Genomic DNA, 23,427 nt, shown 5'->3' with positions numbered 1-23,427 from the left:
GGTTGCTGGTATGTTTCTAAGTGGCTAGTCTTGGAAGAGAGTGGACTTTAGGGTCCTATTTCCACTTAGGGTTGTACAATCACCACGTGCAGGATAACTACCATGTTGAAAACACTGACCGGAGATAAGTCTTCTAGCTTCTGACACTTTTTGCCACGAATTGATCACCAGCTGGGTCTTCATGTGAATGCCATCTGACGACAGGGAGAGCAGAGAATACTGAAGCCCAGAGCAGCAGGGTGAACTGAGTTAGAACTTGAGGAATGGACCTAGGTCTGCCAGCTCTCGGCCCCATGTTTAAAACTGAGCTCCACAAAATGTCAAATATTTTATTAAAGCCAAAATCCAGCCGGATTTCCAGCTGTGATCCAAATACCATATACAGGTTCAGTTGCCTCTCTGTCACAGAAGCCGCCAGCACTTAGGTTGAGACCTTCTGATCACTCATGTCTCCCCTTCCCTCCTCCGCCAGACCTACCCCTCCAGCCCCAGCCCCTCATGGGGAGGCTGTGGGCTGGGCTGTGTTCCTTTTCTCCTCAATTTAGCTTTCCTCAAAGGTTCTCTAGTGAATTGGGGAAGGTTCTTAGAGCTCATTCAGAAAAGAAGGGAGAGAGGAAGGAAGGAAATTAAACCTTATAGAATGTCAAGTTATTGAGCTAAGTAGGAGGCACACAGGATCTCATTGGAGCTTTATGAGAACCCGCTGAGGTGGGCAGTATTATCCCCAATTTTGCAAACGGGGAACTGAAGCTCAGCCAAGTTAAGCAAGTTGCCAAAGACTGCACGGCCCATGGTGGAAGCGAGGCTGGAGTTCGGGCCCCCTAATTCCTGTCCACATTCAGGCCCAAGTAGAGCTGACCTGAATTCTAGAGAAGTCAGTGATGAAGCAAATGCCCCACAGTGCAGACACCTTGGATTGGGCTAAATGGCAGCTCTGGGGGCCACTTGGCTCCAGTTACCTTCATAGCCTCTGCTGGTCCCATGTCTAATTTCTGGACTGAAGGTTCTTCATATTGTGTGTTGGGGGTTGTGGGGAGAGGAGGGGAAAAACACAGAGGTGGCGCTGCTGGTGATCAGGGAAGGAACCAGCCCATGGCAGAACCTCAGGTGGCCTGGGCACCTCCCAGGGCGAAGTGTGCTGGTGTGTGTGAGGCATGGTGCAGTTCTTTGAGCTGAGACAGGCAGGGCCCCTCAGGCTAGTCCTGATCCATCCTGGAACTGGGTTTTGTTATTTATTATTATTATTTTTAGACAGAGTCTCGCTATGTTGCCCAGGCTGCAGTGCCGTGACTAATTTAGAGGTGCATCATAGTGCACTGCAACCTCAAACTCCTGGGCTCAAGCCATCCTCCCATCTCAGCCTGCTGAGTAGCTGGGACTACAGACGTGTGCCACCGCACCCGAGTTAGGGTTTGTTCTAATAAGGGAAATAGTATTCCATTACACAGCTTAGATTCCTAAACCTCCATTTAGAAAGTGGATTAAGATCTCTTCTCCCGAAGCCGGTGGCATCCACAGTTAGAATAAGAACCCAGAGTGGTCTTGGTCTCAAAGTAACCCAAACCTTCCACCTGCCAAGGATGGGGTGGCGTCAGGCTAATCCCGCCACCAAGCCAGCCTGTGAAAAATAATGATTACGTAAAGAAAACATCCCGGAAAAAGAACCCCGACTAATCTGTGCTGGACTGGAACACATGCCTCTTGTTCTGACCTGCCTCCAGAGTGAAATGAGCCACTTCTGCCTTGCATTGTTGCCCCTTTCTTCTCATTCACGTGCTTGCTCAGCAGACACCCAAACAAAGCGTTTGGGGTTTGCCCAGCTGTTCTATTTCCAGCCTGTTCGGTTCATTTTAGGCCCCGCAGCCTCTGCCCACAGCCGGGTGCAGGCCCTCCTCCTTCCCCTCCTCTGCCCCTCCCCCTTCCCTACCTGCTTTTTCTCTCCCTGCTCCGCGGGCTACTGCTCCTCTCTCTGCCACTCTCCCTTCTCCCTCTTCCTCCTCTTCATCTTCCTCTTCTCAGCTTCTGAGATCTGCTTTCAGTCTTCCCCTGTGCTTCCTCTCACCTCCCTGCCTCCTTTAATCTCATTCCCAGGAGCTCACAGGTGTGTGTGGAAAGGACTTGGGGCAGCTCCTGGCCCCAGCAGGTCCGGGAAGCAGGTTAGAGAGAGGAATGGAAGGTGGGGCTGAGGTGCCCACGTGCAGGGAGCAGCCTTTAGAGCCAGCAGCTGTGTGGGTCTCCGTCTGGCTTCTCACTGCTTCGGGAAGCAAGCACACAGGTGTCACCACTTCTGGGTCGCTAAGGCGGAAATGGTCATGACAGTGAGTTGTCTCATGAGCACTGGTGTCCCAAGGCCCTGCCTCGAGTTGGACCTGCCTCCATCCTCTCAGTCCACAGTGAGAGGCCCTAGCAAGGAATTTCTGGAAAAGGACTTCTAGTGCTTCTGTTGTGCTCAGGCCTGCCAGGCAGGGTCTGTCAGTGTCAATAGGGAAGGACACACACTGAGCACTGTTTACTGCCTGGGTCTAGAGCCACTTCACATATCCCACCTCCATTTACTCCTCTGGGCAAAATCTGGAGATGTTTCCTTCTCTCCATTTCACAGACCATGCTTAGAAAGGTTAAGTCATTTGCCCAAGGTCACGCAGCTCACAAGTGGCAAAGCCAGTGGAGCCAGAATTAGCAATCTGGCCGTGGACCAGAAATCGATGGCAGTGGTGGTGCTGGTGCCAAGGGGCTGGCCACAGAGCCAGTGTAGAAGCATGGTCAAAATCGCCTGTGAAATCTATCTGTGAGATCTCCATCAAATTACTCTCCAGTTTCCTCACCTGTAAAATGTGAGTGATAAAAAGAGCCCTTACCTCCTGGGGCTGCTCTGATCCATTAAGCCATGTAGGGGGCTTGGGCTGGTCGTAAACACTCAATCCACGTTAGCTATTATACCTTCCAGAGGCACCTGCCCTCTGACTCTGGAGGAACACCCAAGTCCTCGACAGAGAGAAAGCCAGAAGAATGATAATCCCTTGCCTCCAGTGGTGCTTCAGGAGTTCCAAAGGACCCATCCATCCACTCTCATTTAATTATCATCCCACCTTGGATGAAGGCAGGGGAAGCTTAATTCCCATTCACAGATGTGGAACCTCAAGCCCAGCAACAGCGTGGGATTGGCTCAGACCCCTCTGGAAACAACCCTTGCCAGCCTCTTTTTCTATGTCCACTTATGTAGCAGGAGTTTCATCCAAGAGCACAAACCTGAGCACCTAACTAGCACTCGGAGAGTTGGGGTGGGTGGGAGGCTCACAGAACACCACTAATGAAGACTGAGAAGGAAGCAGACGGAGGGAGAAAGGACCCAGGATATAGCCCCCCCCGCTGTTCCAAGTTAACTGTGATGTAAATTGAAGCTACTAACATCAGGAAAGAAAGGCCCAGATGGCTGAAGCCTGGAGAGTTGAGGGGAAATGGGGAACTTTGGAAGGGAGTACTGATGGTGAGGGTGGCGTGGGTGAGAGGAGACTTGGCTGGCACATGGTGGTGGGATGGCAGAGTGAGAGGTCCAGCATCCCGGATAATTATTCTGGACAAATCTTACAACCCAACCATGGACTAGAATGACAGGGGTGAAGGGCAGAAGTCAGCAGAGGGCAGCTAATTCATTCACTCCTTACTCATTCACTCATTCCTTTGTTCACCTTTGAGCTCCTGACCACTGAGCAGGGGCTGGAGGTAAAAACATTAATAAGGAAAGCATCCATAAATGAGTAAACAAGCAACAAGTTATCACTGCAGTAAGTGCTATAATGGAGGAATATTCAAGGTTCTGTGAGAGCATAAAGGACAGAGGAATTCTACCTGGGAGAGCCCAGGAAGGATTCTCAGAGGTGACAGTTGAGTGGGCCTTGAGGGATGAGTAAGAGTTTGCCAGGCTGAGGACACAATAGTAGAATGTAAGAGGGGAGCACAAGGAGCAGGAAGATCTTCCAGACAGAGGCAGCCTCCATTGCATATCACTTTGGATTTCTCTTTTGCGCTCCACGTCCTTCTTTGTTAATTGGAGTCAGGCCAGAATTCCTTGTAGAGCTCTGGCCCCTAATTTGACCCACACAGGAAGTTTTGGATTTCTTCCTCTCCTAATCGAAAAAATTATCTATCCTGCTTGGAGCTCTCTGGTGCTAGGACTTCCTATCACAGAGAACAAGGCTGTCACTCCACAAGTTGAGAGAAGGTCAACAGTCCTATCTCCTGGGAAATAAAATATACATGGACCCTAAATTCATACTAGAGTGCTGATGACTGACACAAAATACTTTCTTGTGCATAGGTCAGAAAATGAAGAGAGCAGGACGACTCTGGAAATGTGTGTTTATGTTTAGGTGCCAGTATGTAAGGGGACAGTAGTTAGCAAGAGCCTCTGGCAGGGGTGGGAAAGAACCCAAGCAGAAAGATAGAGAGTATTAGAGAGCAACTTTCCAGTCCTGTCCAGGGAAACCCAGCTTGTCACCACCTAGCACCGAGGCCCAGAGGGAGCCTGGTATCACTGGAGCCTTCTTACCTCCCTGCTGCCCTCAACATCCCGCCCCCAGGCGCCCTGGGAGCTGGTTGCCATCTCTAGTGGGGTGCTGACAGAAATGAGGTCCCTAATCAATTTTCCAGGGGGGCAGTGTCATCCCCTCAGGGGAAGAGCGGGTCCTGGGGCAGACAGCGGGATGCTGCCGGGGTGTTGGAAGGGGGCTGATTGTGACTCCTGTTCCCTGGTACTGTGGCTGCCTGGCATGGTGAGAGGATAGCACAGACTGGTCTCTCGGCAGCCTAACTAGGAGGGAGGCCCCAGGAGCAGCTTTGCTGTGGTGGCAGCCCTGGTGGTGGTGGTGGTCGTCGTGGTAGTGGCACAGCTCTGCCTCCCATGGCAGCTTAGGAGCCACCACCCCAGGGAGGGTCACTGTGGCAACAGCTACTCTGGGAACAGATCCTCCGGGCCTCTGAGGCTGGCCCCTGGTCTTCTCGAGGGGCAGCTGGCAGGCCTGTGCCGGGCGTGGGGAGGAGGCAGGGCACCTGTCTCTGAGCCAAGCCTCTGGGGCCCCAGGGCTGAGGCAAGGAGGAAAGGTGGTGTTTGTTTTCCTTTGTTTGCTATGAACATTTGATCACTGATGCTGGATTTGGAGTTAATCGTCCTTGGATCAGGGGCTCAATATGAGGAGCTGAGGGGAGGGGAGCTGAGGGGAGTCTCTAGGGATCTCAGGGATGGAGCTGGGCCTCAGGTTAAGGAATCCTGGGCTCTCGTCCCTGCAGAAGTCTCTTCAGGAGCAGTCTCTCCTGCTCCGGGCAGCCTGGGGTCTGAGCTGAGTTCAGGGTGCCCTTGGTGTCAGTGGCAGGCTGGAGGAACCCTGCTGTCCCACCTAAGGCTGGGGCAGGCCTGGGAGGCTCCGAGTCCAGGAAGACTGGAAGGAGTGGGGTAGGGTGCTGGCTTGAGGTGGACACCGGGCCAGGGTTCTCTTTCCCCGTTTCCCACTCCCTGACCTCACTTCCCTCCCTCTGCTTCTTCACTCTTCATCAACCCCTTTGCCCCTCCCTCCTCTTCCTCTTTCCTTCTTTCTCACTCTTCCTTCTTACTCATTGCTTCCTTTCTCACCATATCCTTCATTCACTTCAACATTTCGCTGAGCACCTACTCTGCATGGACCACTAAGCTAGGCCCTCGAGTGGGAGCTGGGATGAACCAGCACCTCTGAGCAACTCGCCACTGTGGGAAGGGGAATTTGACAAGTACCAAAAAGTACCAGGTAGAAAATGGTAGGTTCTAAAAGGAAGAGAGAGGAAGGGCTATGGGAACTCTCTCTCCAAGGCTTCCTCATTATTCTGACAGTTTCTCAGGCAGGAAATGCATAATGTAAAAAGAAGAGCGTTCATGTTATTCCCCAAGGACTCCCAGGAATGCCCTAGAAATGAGGTGCAAAAGCCAGCTGGAGACAGCTTGCGAGGAATAAGAGAGGATGGAGTTCAGCAGCTGCTCATGCCAGGCCTATCTCCAGCCCATTCATTCATTTGTTCATAAAATATTTACCGAGCCCCTATAGGCCCTAGCAACTTACAGGGAAGCAGGCAATACACAATTCATAGTTACAAAGGACTGTAAGTACCATGAAGAAAATGCACTGGCTGCAGTGATGGAAACTGACAGAGGCAGAGGGGCGTGGATGTGTGAGGGGAAAACGCCTCACCAAGAAAGTGAAATTTACAGCCAGGCCTTCTCAGCCAAGAGAAGGAGGTGGGGTGGGGCTGGACTGGGGTGAAGTGGTCCCCGTGAGGGAAAAGCAAGTGGAAAAACACTGAAGGTGAGAGAGCTGGGGATGTGTGGGAAACTGACAGGAAAGTGAGCTGCTGGTCTCAGGGGCTGAGAGCAGGGGCATGAATAGGTCTGCGGAGGCAGGAAGGCCATGAGGAGCAGCAGGGCATCACAGGCCCTCCTAAGGAGTCTGGATTGTACACGAAGTGGGAACCCAGCCATTGACAGGGTTCTAAGCAGGGGTGACATGATCTGATCCAGTTTCCATTTTAAGAAGCTCTCTCTCTGGTGACTGGGTGGAGACTGGTGGCAGAAGGGCAGATGGGACCCAGGGAGACCTGGGAGGAGGCTCCTGCAGAGCTAGAAATGTAGAACTTGGTAATAGGTTGGAATACGGGTGGGAGATATTTTTTATCTATTGGTCTTCTGGCCTCTCTCCCTGATTAGAATGTAAGTCCCATGAGGGCAGGGATCCTGTTGGTCTTGTTCACCATTGTTTCCCTGAGGACAGAGTTCACAGGTGTTTAATAAAGATTTAATGCACGAAAAATGAGTGAGTGAATTAAGGAATGAGAGGGTGGTTTTGACAACATCTATCTCAGCCTCAAGGTGAATGGTGGCAGCACGCTGAGGGGGACCAGGGAGGCAGAAGGGTGGGATCACAGCTCGGCATCAGGGAGCTGTGAAGACACCCAGGCACTGCCACGCAGGTGTGTCTGTGAGCAGGGAGTGCATGGGGAAGGGAGTGTCTGTTTGGGTCCCTATTGTACACCCAGGTTGTAGAGCAGTACCTGGGACAGAGATGCCACATATGTTTGCTGAATGAATGAACAAATGAATGAATGGAGCTGACGGGATTTCTGAACTGGAACTACACAAGTGGATGACACCAGTACCTGGAAGATGTTTAAGGCAATGGGAGGGGATGAGGTCACCCAGGAAAGAGTATGTGAGGAGAGAAAGGGAGCAAGCCCTAGCCCCCACCAGCAACCAGAGGTTGCTCATTTCAGAAGCAGAGGCCCTAACTCAGCCCCAAGGGGAAGCCTACATTTCTGTAGACTCGTATTTGATGGCTATAGCATATGCTTGCTAACCACTGCTCTTCTAGGGATCCCTGGAGAAGCAGGCAAGTAAGAGCGGGGAGTGGAGAAGCCCCCATAACCTGTGGGGAAAGAAAGGAGAGGCTTCCAGTGCCAACATCAGAAGGCCTCTGACCTCTTTGACTTGCAGCTGTAGCCGTTTGGCTCCCTCTCCTCACCCCCTAAAGCTGGGTCGGAGACAGCCTTGTCCCCAGAGTCCCCAGCGGCTCTTTAGCATGATGCTGCATTTTGAATGCGGTTACCACAGCCCCAAGTGACTGAGCCAGCTCACGTGCTACCTCTTGTGTGGGTACCAGTGTATGCACACACAGGGCTTGGAGCCAGGAACGGAAAGAAAGTGCTCACTGCAATAATGCCACAGGAGCCCCACGAGGGTGGGCACTGGATGGCATCACAACCCAGGCCCAGGACACTCCCCTCGCTCCAGACTAGAGGAGACACAGATGTCTCTCTGCCCTGCCCTATATCCCTGATGGGCTGGGAAGAGGCAGAGAAGAATTTAAGGAAAATCTTGCTAGGAAAGGAGTTCATCTGAACCCCATCTGAATACCTGTGTTCTGGACCTGCCTCCACCACTAACTAGCTGTGTGTGCCACGTGAGTCAGAAAGTCTTAGGATTGGAAACAGTCTTCTAATTCCACCTCCCACGCCGAGCAGAAATACTTCCCACGAACCCTGGTGCAGCACATGATCATCCACTGTGTCTCCAAACATTTTCAGGGAAGGGAACTTCACTACCCCGCAGGGAAACCCATTTTGATTTGGTAATTTTGTTAGAAAGTTTTTTTTTTTTCCAAAAAGCCTGGGAGGACCCACACCAGATGTTAACCATGTCACCTCTGGGGAGGAAAGTGGGACTGAGGAAGGGTGACAGGGGATTCCCTGTTGATTTGGTATGGGGATGGTTTCCAATACCTTGTATTAAATAAATGTTTGTTTGAGACAGGGTCTCGTTCTGTCGCCCAGGCTGGAGTGCAGTGGTATGATCATAGCTCACTGCAGCCTCAACCTCCTGGGCTCAAGAAATCCTCCCGAGAAGCTGGGGCTACAGGCACATGCCATCACACCTGGCTAATTTTTCTTTTTCTTTTTTTTTGTGTAGAGATGGGGTCTCACTATGTTATCCAGGCTGGTCTCAAACTTCTGGCCTCAAGCAATCCACTCTCCTCAGCTTCCCAAAGTGTTAGGATTACAGGCATGAGCCACCATGACTGGCAGTAATAAATTTATAATAGCAAGGGAAACAACAGAAAATAAGGTTCTTATATATACCTACTATGTACCCACAAAAATTACAAATCAAAAATTTCATTAAAAAAAGATTTTTTAAAATTTAAACCCAATCTGCCCTCCTAACATTTCCACCTATTATTTCCGGATCTGCTCTCTGCAATCAGAGAAGAATCTAAACCCACTTCCCCACAGGTACCCTTTAAACACCTGGTAGTTGGGATCAGGTTTCCAAGACTTCTCCAGCTTGAGCCACTCCTCATGTAACTTGGGTTCCAGAGCAGTCCTACCCCCACTTACCCACTTCTGTGCGTCAGAGAATAAAACTCCAGTGGGGTCGCAGAGGGAAGGAACCAAGCAGTCACTGAGCTGGGTGTTGCCTGCTGCTAATTAATGAATGAATCCCAAGAGGACATTCCTCCTCGCTTTATGTGTGTGTGGGGTGGGGTACATACACGTAAAAGGGAGAGTGAGTTTAATGATTCACTTCTCCAAGCCTTGGTTTCTTATCTGTAAAAGGGGAAAACAATACCTTTGCTATGAGAATCAATTGCAGTTAAGGAAATAACACTAAAAGCACAAACTCCTACACTGGAGGTTATGACTCACAAGCCCCACTCAGTTCAGAGAGTGGCTAAGCATTGGACCCACAGAGCCAGACTGAGTTTGAATCCCAGCTTTGCTACTTAATGGCTGTGTGACTTTGGAGAAATGACCTGACATTGTTGTGTTGGTTTTCTCCTCGTAAAACAAAGGTAAGGATAACATCAATCTTGGAATGCATCTTTATAAGCATGAAATGTACTGCCCAGCACTCAATAAATGTTCGCTGTTAGGTATAATCATCCCCTCTTATTCCTTCACAAGGAGATAAGGACTAAGGACTTCAGTGAAATGAGGCTGATTCACTGAAAAGTGAGGTCATCAAACCAAACTGGTCATCTGTTACTGGAGTGAGTTGCCCCAAAATACTCCCCTCTCCCTCTAGCAATGGTTATGTGCTAGGCACTGTGCGCGAGGCTTTACAGGCGCCGACTCATTTCTCCTCATGGCTCAATGAGAGAGACACGGCCTCAGGCAGATACTACATTTAAAAGATGAGGAAATAGACGTTCACAGAGGCTGAGTAACTTGCCCAGGGTCACACAACAAGGAAGTGATGGAGTCAGGACTCAAACCCAAGTCTGCCTGACTTCAAAAGTCTGTCTTATTCTTTTAAACAATGTCCTGTTCTTTTAACCAGCTCCCTACCTTGGGCTCGACTCCAGCTTTGGGGAACAGGAGGAAGCCAGAGCCCTTTCTTCCTTGACAGCACGGCCTGCTGTTTCTGTGAGGTGGGGAGGAGGGGCAGTCTGCTGCTTCTCTCGTCCACCCCTCCACCCTCCTGCACACTGCCCCCTCCTCTTCCAGCAGCCTGAAACGGTCACTGGGGACCCCAGTTGCCACCCCTTCAGTCCCCTCAGGACCACTCTGGCATCTAGTACCCCTGCTGCTGGCTGGGTTCTCAGCCCCTGACCATGAAATGGTTCCACATCGATCTACAGAAAAAACAGCCACTTTGGCCGTGGGCCCTGATGCGTAATATCATTATGGAGTCAGCAGCGCATCCCGTCCCATTATCGCCTGGCCAAGCTTTTCCAAGGCCAGCCTGGCTGCAAATGGCTTTCTCCTGTCTAGGGGGGCCACAGCCACTGTTTGCCCTCCACTACCGGAGGAGAAATTTTATCTTTAATTGACACTGGCTGCCTGCCACCCCCTTGCCTCGGCTGGCCCAGGCTCCAAGCCCGATCTTTCCTTACACTTCAGGAACAGGCTTCCCCTGGCTTCTTCCCTCTCCTCGGCCATTCCGTCCTCACCCTGCTGTTCTACACTGCCCAAGACAGCTCCCGGGTGTGTTCTTGTCCTTTCTTGGTGCAGCTGGACACGGAGATCTCAGAAGTCTGTGGAGAAAAGTCTGAGAGTGACAGGAACAGGGCAGGGAGGGAGCTGACACTGTGCCGCTACTATATGTCATATCACAGGTAGACACATGACACCAGGCCAGGCTCTTCACTCTGTCTCTGAAACAGGGGCCATCATTATTCCCTAACAAACAGGGAAACCATTTCGGTGAGTCACCCCCAAGTCACCCAGCTAGCAAGCAGCAAAGCAAGACTTTGAATTGAGGCCCCTATGGTCCTACACAGATGCCCAGAGTAAGAGTGAGGAGTAAGACAAGAATAAGGAGAGGCAAGCAGGCAACCAGACCCGCCAGAGCCTGGTGCAAGATGGAAACGCAGGGCCCCTGTTCAACCATTATTAATTTCATGATGGTGACAGCCAAGCATTAAACCCAGCATGGGGCCCTTCTGAGTGGCTGCACAGGTTGCACACCCATGAAGCTGGCCCTGCGTGTGCCCCTATGTGAACGTGAGAGGGATAACAACAGTGAGAGCCAAGGGCCACGTCTGACCATCACTCACCATCTCCCCGTCCTATCCAGGCCCAGGATGTGTTCACTCTCCATCCCTAAGTGGTCCCCAGTTGTGCCACCAGTCTCTAGTTGGCCTCAGTTCATCAGCCATCCAGCCAATAACTTTGGCGTCCCCAGGGTCTTGGCCCATTTAGAACTGGTACAATTGCAGGGAGGAGGGGAGGCCCCCTGCACAAACGGAATGCAGTGGAATTCCTTAAACAAAGAACAGTCTTTTCTTCCATGTTATGGCAGGGGCTTGGGGACAGCAGTGGATATTAGAACACTGTTTGGGTCTCGGGGTCCTGGGTTAGTCCTCTTTGTGTGGCTTTGGGCAGATGACTTGCCCTCTCTGAGCACTAGTCTCTCCCTGTAAAATGCAGGGGTCAGGCCACACTGATGATTCCTGCTGGAGTGGGGTTATGCTGAGTGTGTGCACTCCTCAGGTGTCAGGGGTGAGAGCCCCAGGAGGTCCCAATAGACACAGAGCCAGAAAGGAGAGGCAGAGGCAGGTGCTCACACAGCAGGAGCAGCAGGATGCTCCAGATGTCTTTATTGGGGCTCGAGCACAGCATGACAGTTGGAGGCATGCAGACAGGGCACAGGGCCCAGCCTGGGCATGCCCCAGACACACACGAGGGGACAGCTTTAGAAAAGGACTGACCAACACCAGGGAGGAGCAGGGAGGGAGGGCCAAGGGAGGGGCAGAGGCCAAGGCTGAAGGGGTCACCTGGCCTCTGCTATTGCACGCATCCTCTGGCCACTGACCAGGAAGTACAGTATTGCAACTGGTCTCCTCTTGCCCAAGGCTTCCCTTCTCGGACCCCCTGGGCCAGATGGGCAGACAGATCCTTTCCCTGCCTGTCTGCCCAGCAGCATCTTTGACAACAAACAGACAAAGGAGAGAGAACAAAATCAAATCTAAAAAAGACAAAATGCCCCCCTAAGTCAAGGACATAGATGGGGTGGAGGAAGTAGTGGAGGAGGCTGCAGAGGAGCCCCTGGAAGTCCCCCCACAACGAGGATGTGGGGTGGGAGGTAGAACCCCAATCTGGGGTGGGGTGCGGCTAGTGAAGCAGTGACCCTAGGGGGCAGTCTGGCCTTCAATAGACTTCACCAGGTTACTTGCTGACAGGGGAAACATCCCCAAGACAGGAGCCTGGGACTACCCAGCTGGACTGGCAATTCCCAGATGCACTTTTCTTGGGACATTCCACCCACACAGTCAGCAGAAACAACAGAAATCAGTGAAGGGGACGGGAAACTCTGGGTGGGGCAAGGGCTTAGGGAGACACAGCCTAACAAAGAAGACAAACCACCAATAGCACGTGCACTACACACAAGAGTATAATATGTATGAATATAGATACTATATGTGCATATATATCTCTTCGATGTACAATGGAACAGAACATCAGACCCAGATGGCTCTGGGCCCCGAGGGTCGCATGGGAGATTTTCCACCAGTCCTGTGCAAACAAGGATATCTGAGTCTTTCCCAGCGAAAAGATTCTTGTCTGGGTTCCAGAGTTTCCCTAAGCCTCTGGCTTTCTGTCTGTCTGCCTGTCTCTCTCACGTTGGTGCCGCTTTAAGAGAGGGTGAGGACTTCAGCCTGGGCATAGTTGGACGAGAGGGCGTCTTGGCAGGTCTCTGTGTTTAAAGAGCACAGGTGTGAGACACTGGGACGCACGCTTTCGGCTCAACATTGCCTTCTGGGGTTGGGGGGACAGGGAGTTCAGCAAAAGAAAGGGAGAAACAAAGAATGAGACGTTAGAAGGAAGCCAGCTGCTGACCCACAGGGTGTGGGCTAAGGAGTAGACCAGGAGCAGAGCTGGAAGGCATGAGGAACCCAGGGCTAAAAGGCCAGGAAGAGCATGGATGGGTCAGGGAATGGGGTGAACCCTTCACCCCTCTGCCAACCCAACTCTGGTGACTCAGGTGATGTTGTAGCTCATCGCCATACCTGTTCAGGTAACCACTAGCTCCAGGAACCACTAGCCTCTTAGGTCTTCAAAGCTCCAGTGCAGTGGAGAAAGGGACCATAGCTCTGCAGCCTTGCATGGAGGCAGTGGGGAAAGTTCCTGATGTGGCCTGTGGCTCACAGGCCATCACCCCAGCTGTTGCCTGACCAACTTGAGCTCTCCCCCAAGTAGCTCCATCTGCTGTCACCACCCTGGGATATTCCATTGTCCCAAGGAGCTGGTGAAGAAGGCTCCTGAGTATGATGCCATGTCGTGCCCAGCCCCCTTCCTCAATGTGGCAGGAACAGAGTCCCAGCAGTTGGAGGGCATGCAGCCTCAGGTGAATGCTGAAGGGGAAGGTCACGGAGGACGAATGTGCCTGTCTCAGGAGAGAAGGTCAGGAAATAGTACCTTATTGAGAAACCCAACCCCTCAGAGAGCCCTTTTGGGATCCCACCCTCAGCCTGGGATGTCTACCACCTGGGCCTTTCCTTCCCCTACCTTACCAGTGGGAGCACAGGTAGGGCAGGTAGGAGTACTGCTGTCCCAGCTGCAGATCTGGGTCAACAGTGGAGGTGGGAGTTCCAGACCCGCTGGGACAACCCCTGCAGCTCTCGGGTCTGAGGTCTAGGGCTAGGCCTCCTGTCAAGGTGGAGTGCAGATGTGGCATCCAGACCTCACAGCTTCCATCCTGGGCTTCGGGGTGCCTCCATCACCTTTCTAGGGAAGGGGTGTCCTCATCTTGGGGTGATGCTGTTTCCATCTTCTTAAGACTGTATGCCCCAGCCACCTCCTTAAACACTGCCCCTTTGCCTACAAGTGTTCTGGGCCTCTGAGTACTATCCTTGAAATCAGAGGAATTCAGGGTTCTTCAGAGCCCCATTTCTGAGGACACGCAGACAGAGCTGTGGTCTTGCCCTGTACTCCTGTCTGCGTAACTTAAGCAACACCTGCCACTGATCCCCACTCATTAGGGGACAGGGAAGTGCCTCTGGGCTCCCAGTAGGCAATTAGGCCCTAAGATGCACCGGTGAGAATGCCTGGGCTACTGAGGGGTCTAGGATGGGTCTAGGATGAGACAGAAGGAGTCACAGCAAGGCTGTCAAGTGTCCCAGAAGCCAGGGAGCAGAGCAGCCCATACTGAGATAATGGCCTTAGATTGCTTTTCCACTGGCTTCCATGGACTCTCCATCCTCAGGGACCTCTGAGAGTTGGGGAGGGGTCTTCCTAGGAATCTCATCCTGGATTCTTACCTATTTGACCCACCAGGGGTGGGGCAGGGATTTCAGAGGGTGACGCTGGCCAGAGCAGAGCAGGCCCTCCTCTCCCAGGAAGCTCTGTGAAAGGGCAGCCTGGGCCCTGCAGCCAGTCCATGGCCTCCCCTCTGGCTCCTGTCAGCCAGCTTCTAGGTTGCAGTGCCCTTCCTTCTGGTTCTACCTCTCAGAAGCCCTGAAAATTGGTCTCTAGGTTGCCAGTAACCCTGCTACAGACTGGAAGGCGAGGTTGTGAACTCCTACCCAGACTGCCTCCCAGTTCTGTGGGAAGGGGCTGAGCTCCAGCTGCAGGGGAAAGGCATCTGACAACAAAGTAGTGGGTGCAGGTCCAAGTCTAGCCCAAGGAAAACAAACTCTACTCTCAGATGGTGGGTGGGAGAGAGCCTTCTCTCAAGGAGGGAGGCTCAAGGCCTGGGTGAGCCTGACGCCTGTACAGGCAGCCACTTCCTGTGGCAGTGCCTGGTATGCAGGGGTTCTGCAAATGCCTGGGCTCACCCTGCCCTTTCCCAGGGCCCTGGGCAGGCCCAGAGGTGCTGAGAGGTTGTAAGGGCAGACAGTCTACTCAGCCCTCCTGCTATCTGGGTTCTATCTCTCCCAGATGAAGCCAGAGAGCCAGGAGGGATGTGTGGGAGCCAGCTCCCCGAGGCATTAGGGCTCCAGCCTGGCAATGCTGCATCTTGTCGCCCAGGGACATCTGTGCCCACCGTAGGGGTGCCATGAGCCAGACCCAGCCCTGTGGGAGGGAAGAGAGGGAAGGAGGCGGTGGGTGCCGTGGAAACTTGGGCTCCTGACAACTTGAGGGCTGCCACAGAAATAGCGGCCTCGGTTCCCTGAACCAGAAAGGCAAGTCAGAGGAGAAAACAGTGGTGGCATCCCTGTGAACCTGCACACCCGGCTCGTTGTGTCCCTGTCAGAGCCCAGGCCCTCCATGCCAGGGAGTCCTCTCGCTGTTGGGGGAGGGGCCCTCGCATCTCCATCCTGTTCCACAGGCTTCCCCATCCCTGTCACTTCAAGGGCCTGCTCCCTCCTGAAGGGCAGTTGCATGGAGGCCCCCACATCCCCTCTTCTCACTTCTTATGGGTCAGGTCACTTCATTCTGAGAGCAAGTGGGAGGCAGGCCCCACAAACCACTGCAGGGTGGGGGTATCCCAGTGCCCACTCTGAACAGACCTTTCCAGAAGGACATTTCTGTGTCTGCCCAAGACTGAGGGAGGTGCCGAGATGGGGACACTCCGGGCACAGGCTTTACACAACACCCCCAACCCCATGCAATAATTTGCTCTGCCCAGTCCGCCTTTTGGGGAGCCTCAGATTTCCCAGCCTCTGCCCAGCCCCGACGCTGCCCTGCCATCCTATCTTTGCTGACCATGGAAGGAGCAGATCTGGACCTTACTTAGTCATTCTCTCCGCAAAATTGCATAATCTGACTCTAAAAATTGCCAGGCGCACGGCTCTGCTGTCAGGTCTAATTCCCATCAGGTGAAAGAGGAAACGTCTTGGCTGAGGCAACCTTGTTCCTCAGGCTGTGGAGGGCCCCCTTCCCGGGAGCGGCAGGAGCAGGTGGGGGCAAGATGGCTTCTGTCCCCACACTTCCCCTCAGCTGCCCCTGCGCAAGGTGTACCCCTGCTCACCCAGTGACTCACAAACCTGTTGTGCTCCTGGGCTCGTTAGGTAAATGAATACACTTAATTATAGAAATTAGATGAGTCTCCGGTTCTGGCAGGAATACAGAGCGCAGAGGCTGGGTGGGAATGGCAGGTGACTCAGAGGCAGGGCTGGGAGTTTGAGGGAGAGGGAGAGGGAAGAAGAACTGTCGCAGAAGCAGAGGAAGCAGCGTGGAGAGCGATGCTGCAGCTCGGGGCGCAGAAGGGACACCAGGTGCCGCCAGTGGGAGTCACCACTGAATCTGGGCAGAGGCTTCCTGAGGGAAGGGCCTCCCTCGCCTAGGCAGCCCGCCCACGGCCTGCACCAAGCCTGAAGCTACAACGCTAGGGACCCCTACCTGCGCCCCAAGCCAGGGATAGAAAACATCAGGCCTCTTCTCCCAGGGCAGCACTGCCCATAGGCACTGCTCTTCCAAGGAGTCAAACCACCTTTACACCAGCAGAGATGCCCGACATAACAGCCTTGTTCCTTGCTGGTCTGGGTGTGGGGTGGACAGACAGACAGACAGACAGGCTGTTCGGCTACTGGTTAAAGGCTATGAGGAATGGAAATACATTCACAGTGATTAAAGATATTAACATAGGCGTGGCTCCCCAACAAGGCTGACTGGCCCCAGGCGCTCTGTGCACACATAAACGCCTGGTGGCTGAGACTGGCCCTGGTGGGACCCCGAGAGGAAGGCAAGGCCGAAAGACAGGTCCGGGGTGTGCACCTACAGCCCAGGAAGAGGCCAATATGGGGAGAAGCTCTGGGATTGCTTTCCCCTTTGCTCTCCGGTTCCAGAGCTGAACCTTTTGGGAAGCTTGGAGCTATGGAGGGCAGGCTCGGGGGCCTAAGTTCTCCTCTGTCCTGACTGCTCCCCCCTGCTCCCTCCTGCTGCCCGCGTGGGCCCTGGGGAGTGAGCGCTGAGGGCATGGAAGGGTGCCTGTTTGTGCGCGTGTGCCCAGAGGGGAAGGTGCAGCTAAGGGGCAGAGTGACCAGGGGGTGGGCCGGTGAGGGGGTGGAAGGGGGTGAGCAGGAACTTTTTCAGAGGGTAGGGCAAGCTGTAACGCGATGCCAGTGGAGACAGCCCCAGGCTGGTTCCAGCTGCTCCAACTATGTTGTTTAGACTCCGGGACTTTCCACAGCCTTGGTGAAGAAAAGGCACATGGGTCAGTGGGCGCAGCTCCACAGGGTCCACGCTCCAGGAGACACTGCAGGGCGGGTGGCCCTGGGCTGGTGTGGAGGGGCCTGGCCCTCCTTGACTCTCCCTGGCCTCAGGTCTCCTGGGCTCCTGAGGACAGACTCCAGGGCCCCACACCCAGCTGACTTTTGTCCTGTCCTGCCCCCAGGTAAGCTTCCCACCAGCTCCTTGATAGCCCAGCTAGACAAAGACCCCACAGCCTCCAGCATCAGCCTTCTTGACTCTAAGAAGCCCTAATTAGCACCTGCCACCATCCTCCCAGGGAACTGACACTCTGATACATGGGCCTGTGTGGAGGAGGCCCAGACCCACTCACTCCTGGTCTTAAGCATAACCTGAGTGTGGAGAAGTGCGGCACGGTACGGCGTGGAGAAAGTTGCCGAGTGTGCATTGGGAGTTTGGCAATGTTAACTGCCACGCTTGCTTAGCAGGGCCTGTTTCCCAGCAACCCACCTGTTCCCTCTCGAAGGTCACTCTAATTGGCTGAGCTACATGCCTGTTGCCAAGAAGCAGTGTGGAGGCATCTTGAAAACAGAGCAGACAGGCCCCACAGGCACCCCAGGGATACTGGATGGTGAGATGCTGGCTCTCCTGCCCCGTGCACGTGCCGGTGAAACTCCTTCCCCAGGTGCAGTCCACTCCCAGTACCTCGTGGTCCCTCCTGACTGGTACCCTCACGGCCTCTTCCACACCTATTTCCACTGAGCCCCTCACAGCCCAGGGAGGAAAGCAGGGATGCGTGGCACTCAGCTCTGTGTGCTCGAGTCCTACACAGGGACCACTCGTTCTAGACTGTCTGCTTAGCACGGTCCAGCCAGAGCAAGGCTTTGGGCCTGAACAAGGACACAGTGGAAGCCACTGCCTGTTTGGGATGGTCGGCGGGAGAGAAGGCCAAATCCAGGCCCAAGGATAGGACACGGGGGTGAACAAAGGAACACAGGCGAGGGTAGAGGTCTGAGCACCCTCCATCTGCTGCCTTTTGCTGGGGTTGCTGGACCACTTCCTTCTAGGCACCAGATCACTATTCCCATTTCTGCCAGTCCACAGAACACATGCCCAACAAAGCTGGACACACACCTTTCAGGGGCTGGTTAGGCTCAGGGTGGCCTGGGGCTTCCATGGGGAGAGTGGTACTGAAAGGTCTGGGAAAGAAACTAGAAGGTGCCCACAGAGCCTGCATGGGCTGGCAGGCCACGGGACATTGGGACATCTTCAGAGGGACAGAGGCATCACAGGCTATTCCTGTAGCTGCCACTGCCCCTTCCTCACTCAACCTAGTTTGGGTCTGGGGTTTGGGGACAGAGGGAAGTGGGGGATGGGAAATCCAGCTGGTTAAGAAGTGGCAGAGAACCTGGGGAAGAGCTCTGTTTTGGAGGGAGTCAGGGTTTATTCTAGAAAGAGGTAGAACATTGAGTGAGGTTAGGTAACAGGGACAGGGCAAGAGAGACGAATAAGTGATCGAAAACTGGGTAGGAGGGCCTGGTCCTAAGACCCCTGGTTCTCAGCCACCGCGGGCCCTCCACCATCCTTGATCATTCCTACCCGCTTTCCGAGGCCAGGAATCCCTAGCTCCACAGCCCAACCTCTGCCCTTGCCTTGCCGCAGGCTTGGGGCCTGGGGATGGAATTTCAGCCTTTTCCGACAAGCAGAGGATGGGCTGCTCCCTCTCTCTCCAAATACTCAGAACATTCCTCAGATGGGACCCACTCTTCCTGCCCACCTATCCCACCCCTTGGTCATCTCTGGCACTGCCTCAAGAGGACAGTCACCCTCTAGGTGCTTGCAGACGGAAGTCTGCCCATCCTGTGCTCCAGGACCCCTGGCGCAGGATGGGAGGATGCAGGGCCTGTGTGGGGCTCCCTGACTCTTGAACGTTGTTGGCACCTCGAGGGGTCACCTACTTGGGAAGCCTTAGCTGTGTTTAAGGGAGGCCTAGGGAGAGGCTGGCAGTGACCCTGTGGAATGGGGCCTGAAGGCAGCAGCGGGAACCAGAGGTAGAAAAAGAGATGCAATGGAAGCACGGGGCAGGGACCCTGGCCTTGTGCACCCTTTACCCTCTAGCGCTGCTCTTTCCCATGGGCAGCTGGATGGGAGCCGTGTGCCCTTCTGAGATGGAGAAGACCTTTCTAATCCAGGGACTGGGAGATCAGGTACCCATTCTAAAAGTGGGGGTGCATCCAAGGCAGAGGAGATGGCGGCCACGGTCTCAGGGGAGGGGGGGACCTCAGGCTCTTGGTGGGGGACTCGGGAGACTCAGCTCTGTGGGGGCTCCCCACCTGTCCAGCTTGGGAAGCCATACCTTTCCGGACACTACCATCGGCGCAGGCATAGTCCCCAGTGCTGAGCAGGAAGCAGGCAGCTGCCTTCTTGTTTCTGTCTCGAGTGGTGGAGCGTCGCAGGGCCCGGCGCTCCTCGGGGGTCGGGGAGGAGGCCAGGGGTTGGGTGAGGCCAGCTCCCTCCTCATCAGACAGCACTGCGTTGGCATCGCCATTCTGCTTAGAGTCTGAAGGGGGCACACAGAAAGGAGGCTGCATGAGGGGCGACCTGAGCCTTGCTCATGGGTCATCTGGGGTCTCCCAGACCCAGAGTGTTACTTCCTCAACCTTGGGAGGGGCCTAGCATCTACCTGAGAGGCAGCATTGCCAGAGCCGGGGAGCAGAGGGCAAAAGGCAGGGATGCTACACTTGGTGTGAAGACTGACTTCCCTCCCAGCCTCAGCTTAGGGTCTCTCCTCAGGGATGAAGCCACAGTGCAGATGCCCTACAGCAGTGACTCCCCAAATCTGCCTGCTGACGGCTGCCCCAGGAGATCAGCCCAAAGCAGTCCGCAGACTCTACTTCCTCCTTGGGTCTGGCTCAGGCTGACTCTTGGATGAGTCTGCTTTCCCGTGGAGAATACCTGGCTTGCTAGCGGTGAGGGGTGGCACGGCAAGGGTTAAACCTATAAAGTGGCGTCCATGCTTTCTCCCTGGGTGACAGTAATTCTTGTTCACTAGGCATCTAGGCCAGAGTCCTGTGCCCAAAAGACCTAGAGCCCTCCGCAATTAGGGCTGACCTTTGTCTGGGGAGGATACCATGAGAAAAGCTCCGACGCAGCTCTCAAGTGCTGTGGGCTTAGTCTCCACCCCTTGCCTCTGTCAGGCAGTAGCACAGGTGAAGCTGGGCCCTTGGATCTGGAGAAGGGGGTGCTACTCTATCTGAAGACAGTGGCCCTGCCATTGGCCAGGCATGCCCTTACTGTGGCTGCTCTCAGGGTCAGGCTAAGGGCAAGGCTGATAGGGCCACAGTTAAGTGTACCTTGAGGAGCTGACCTAAGGACTTCTACGTTTTAATACTGGGATTCTCTTTATACCCTGAATGGGCCTCAGAGTGCAGCTGAAATTCCCCGGGAAATTAATATTCACAAATTAGGAAGCAGTGCCACTTTGGTGGGGGAGAAATGGGAAGCCTGATGGATGCTCTTCTATCAAGGCCTTCGGAAGACCCAGGCCCCTGACATGACCCCCGGGAATGAGTGGACCCGGGCATGTATGATAGGCACATGCCAAAGGCCATAGGTGAGTGTCCCAAGCTAGGCGCCTCTCCTGCAGGGTCAGTCCCACTTTGCCCCAGAGCTTAGCCTTAGTCTCCTGGCTCCAGTCCACCTCCCCATACCAGGAATTCCATACCTTTCCCAGGAGCCCAGCCTACACATAACAGTCAGGATGCCTTTCCCTCTCTCCAACCGAAGTTCACATTGCTGGGGATTAAGCAGTTTTCCATTTCCCAACTCCTGATTCAGGGGCGGAGATGAGCTTTCTTGGGATGGCCTTTCCCATCCTTGAGGGACAGGATTCAGATGCCCAGGCTCTCCCCTTCCAGGGCACAGATATCAGTTTCTTCCATGTTCCTCCCCTTCCCAACACTGTCTGGGCCACTCCTTCCTCAGTTCCTTTCCATCCCATGTCAAACCCTGAGCCCAGGACTCAATCTAGCTTGTGCTGAACAGAAGGCAGCCTCCCACTGCTATTACGTTATCACATTTATTAGGCCAAGATACCAGACTCGAACGTTTGCAAAGAAGTGATTCATGTGTTGATGTACCTTGGAAGAACAGCTGCCCTGCTCACTGGCTAATATTGACAGTACCTGACATTTGTAATGTGGTTCTGACTTCCCAAAGTACTTTCATATCTGTCATTCATTTGGGTCTCTCAAAGTCTTGAGGGTAGGATATGATATTATTCCCATTTTACAGGTGCCTAGAGAGGGTGAGTGACTGGCCTCAGGGCACACAGCACAGTGGCCAAGATTGGATTTAAAACCAGGGCATCTAATATACAGCCCCATGTACTGCCCATCACACCCTACCCTGGGTGGAATACTCACTCCAAAGATCTGATGTTCGGGAAGCTATCGGAGACCCAGCCAGAGGACAGAGAAATTCGGCCTCAACACTTTGCCCTCATAAAGGCACATCTTTATGCTTAGGGAAGCCCCACACAAAACACATGCCAAATCCCAAGGTCTGAGGTCCATTTGGAAACTCCCTAGGCCACTGGGGGAAAAGGGATTTTCCTTCCCAACCCCTAATCTCACCTGCCCGTTTCCTCTCGATCATACCCTCTTCCCGGGCAGGGGGGCTGGTATCACTGCAGGTGCTGTCCCGGGGGGAAGTCTCCTCAGACTTGCAGTACATGGGTGACTCCAGCTGCGCCGGCCGTGGCACGTGCTTCTTCCGTTTCTTGGGCAGCTTCTGCTTGGCCATGGCCAGGGAGTAGTACATGCCGAAGTTGTTGACGATGACAGGCACCGGCATGGCGATGGTGAGCACGCCAGCCAGTGCACACAGTGCCCCTACCAGCATGCCTGACCACGTCTTGGGGTACATGTCTCCGTAGCCCAGTGTCGTCATGGTGACCACAGCCCACCAGAAGCCAATGGGGATGTTCTTGAAGTCGGTGTGGTCATTACCCCGAGGGTCGGAGGGCCTGGCCCCAATGCGCTCAGCGTAGTAGATCATGGTGGCAAAGATGAGCACACCCAGGGCCAGGAAGATGATAAGCAGCAGGAACTCATTGGTGCTGGCCCTCAGGGTGTGGCCCAGCACGCGTAGCCCCACGAAGTGGCGTGTGAGCTTGAAGATACGCAGGATGCGCACGAAGCGCACCACGCGCAGGAAGCCCAGCACGTCGCGGGCCGCCTTGGATGACAGGCCGCTCAGCCCCACCTCCAGGTAGAAGGGCAGGATGGCCACAAAGTCGATGATGTTGAGCAGGTTCTTGACGAAGTCCAGCGTGTCGGGGCAGCACACGATGCGCACCAGGAACTCCAGTGTGAACCACAGCACACATACGCCCTCGATGTAGGTCAGGATGGGCTCTGTCTCTACCTCCCGCCGGAAGTGCACGCTGGTGATGTTCCCTACGCGGAGGATCTCTGTCACGTTGCGGTCGATATTAAAGGCCTCATGGGTCTCCAGGCAGAAAGTGGTGATGGAGACCAGGATGAAGAAGAGAGAGGCAAAGGCCACTACCTATGGGCAGGGGAGGAGAGCAGGGGGCAGCTGTCAGACAGGGATGGATGGGCCCAGCTGGGGACGTGGACTTCTGCATGAAGGTTACCAGGAAGGGCATTCCAGAGTGAGAGGTGGGATTAACGTATGGAGTCAGGGCTGGAAGTCCCTCCTCAGAGGGTCTTTATCCATATGCTTGGGGGCTCTCGGGCAATGTTTCCCAATCTTTGTCACAAAAGATAGAAGCTGCTCTTGGCTGGAAACACTGGTCAGGTATCTACAGCTGCTAGACCTGCCTTTGATAGCTCTGCCCACCTCTGACCCATTTGCATTTTAAGGCTTCTCAAGCTGCAATGGGAATCTTGTTACAATGCATTCCTGATCCAGAGGCTTGGGGCAGGTCCTGTGATTCTGCATTTGTAATAAGCACTCAGGTGAGGCTCTGTCCATGCACCACAGTTGCAGTAACTGGGCTTTAAGGCAATGGTCCTCAAAGTATGGTCCTGGACCAGAAGCATTAGGTCTCTGGTCCTTTGGTTAGAAACACAAATTTCAAACTTGACCTAAAGCTACTGAGTGAGAAATGCCAAGGGTAAGATCCAGCAATGTTTTAACAAACCTTCTAAGTAATCCTAATGCACACTAGTTTGAAGTCCACTGTATGAAGGAATGCTCCGAGGCAGGTTGCTGCAAGGAATGACCCTGGACCACTTTCTGCTGGCTGAGCCTATTATCCATAGTCTCTTCTCCTGCCTCTCACCTTAGGATGTCCCCGCTGACTGCCTAGAT

The 23,427-nt window shown here is 53.9% G+C and overlaps 1 protein-coding gene across 11 annotated transcripts in view, besides 4 other annotated features; it reads right to left on the bottom strand.

Moving 5' to 3' along the window:
* The window catches only part of KCNC4 (potassium voltage-gated channel subfamily C member 4), a 73,767-nt gene that overhangs the window by 38,458 nt on the left and 11,882 nt on the right, over window positions 1-23,427 (bottom strand). For 2 of the 11 annotated variants that reach the window (XM_006710625.5, XM_011541401.4), the window contains exons 2-3: window positions 21,723-22,659; window positions 19,445-19,648 (exon numbers count right to left, since the gene is read on the bottom strand). In XM_006710625.5, coding sequence (XP_006710688.1) covers window positions 19,445-19,648; window positions 21,723-22,659 — 1,141 coding nt within the window. Of the gene's footprint in view, window positions 1-11,578; window positions 13,403-16,824; window positions 17,091-19,444; window positions 19,649-21,722; window positions 22,660-23,427 lie in introns of those variants that run through there. The other 9 variants (XM_047419679.1, XM_047419680.1, NR_036437.2 and 6 more) reach the window with 8 other exon arrangements.
* Window positions 1,662-1,711: an enhancer, noted in NCBI's record as "active region_1464". NCBI's record gives its function as "activates an Ori minimal core promoter by ATAC-STARR-seq in GM12878 lymphoblastoid cells {active_cell/tissue: GM12878}" and the evidence as "EXISTENCE:reporter gene assay evidence [ECO:0000049][PMID:35858748]".
* Window positions 9,079-9,188: a silencer, noted in NCBI's record as "silent region_1172". NCBI's record gives its function as "represses an Ori minimal core promoter by ATAC-STARR-seq in GM12878 lymphoblastoid cells {active_cell/tissue: GM12878}" and the evidence as "EXISTENCE:reporter gene assay evidence [ECO:0000049][PMID:35858748]".
* Window positions 9,700-10,200: an enhancer, noted in NCBI's record as "H3K4me1 hESC enhancer chr1:110778045-110778545 (GRCh37/hg19 assembly coordinates)". NCBI's record gives its function as "activates a minimal SCP1, AML or CMV promoter by ChIP-STARR-seq in naive H9 embryonic stem cells {active_cell/tissue: H9 hESC(naive)}" and the evidence as "EXISTENCE:reporter gene assay evidence [ECO:0000049][PMID:30033119]".
* Window positions 10,201-10,701: an enhancer, noted in NCBI's record as "H3K4me1 hESC enhancer chr1:110777544-110778044 (GRCh37/hg19 assembly coordinates)". NCBI's record gives its function as "activates a minimal SCP1, AML or CMV promoter by ChIP-STARR-seq in naive H9 embryonic stem cells {active_cell/tissue: H9 hESC(naive)}" and the evidence as "EXISTENCE:reporter gene assay evidence [ECO:0000049][PMID:30033119]".

Source organism: Homo sapiens, chromosome 1 (assembly GCF_000001405.40).
Source record: "Homo sapiens chromosome 1, GRCh38.p14 Primary Assembly".
NCBI classification, from domain to species: domain Eukaryota; kingdom Metazoa; phylum Chordata; class Mammalia; order Primates; family Hominidae; genus Homo; species Homo sapiens.
This window is presented reverse-complemented; position numbering and strand designations above follow the sequence as displayed.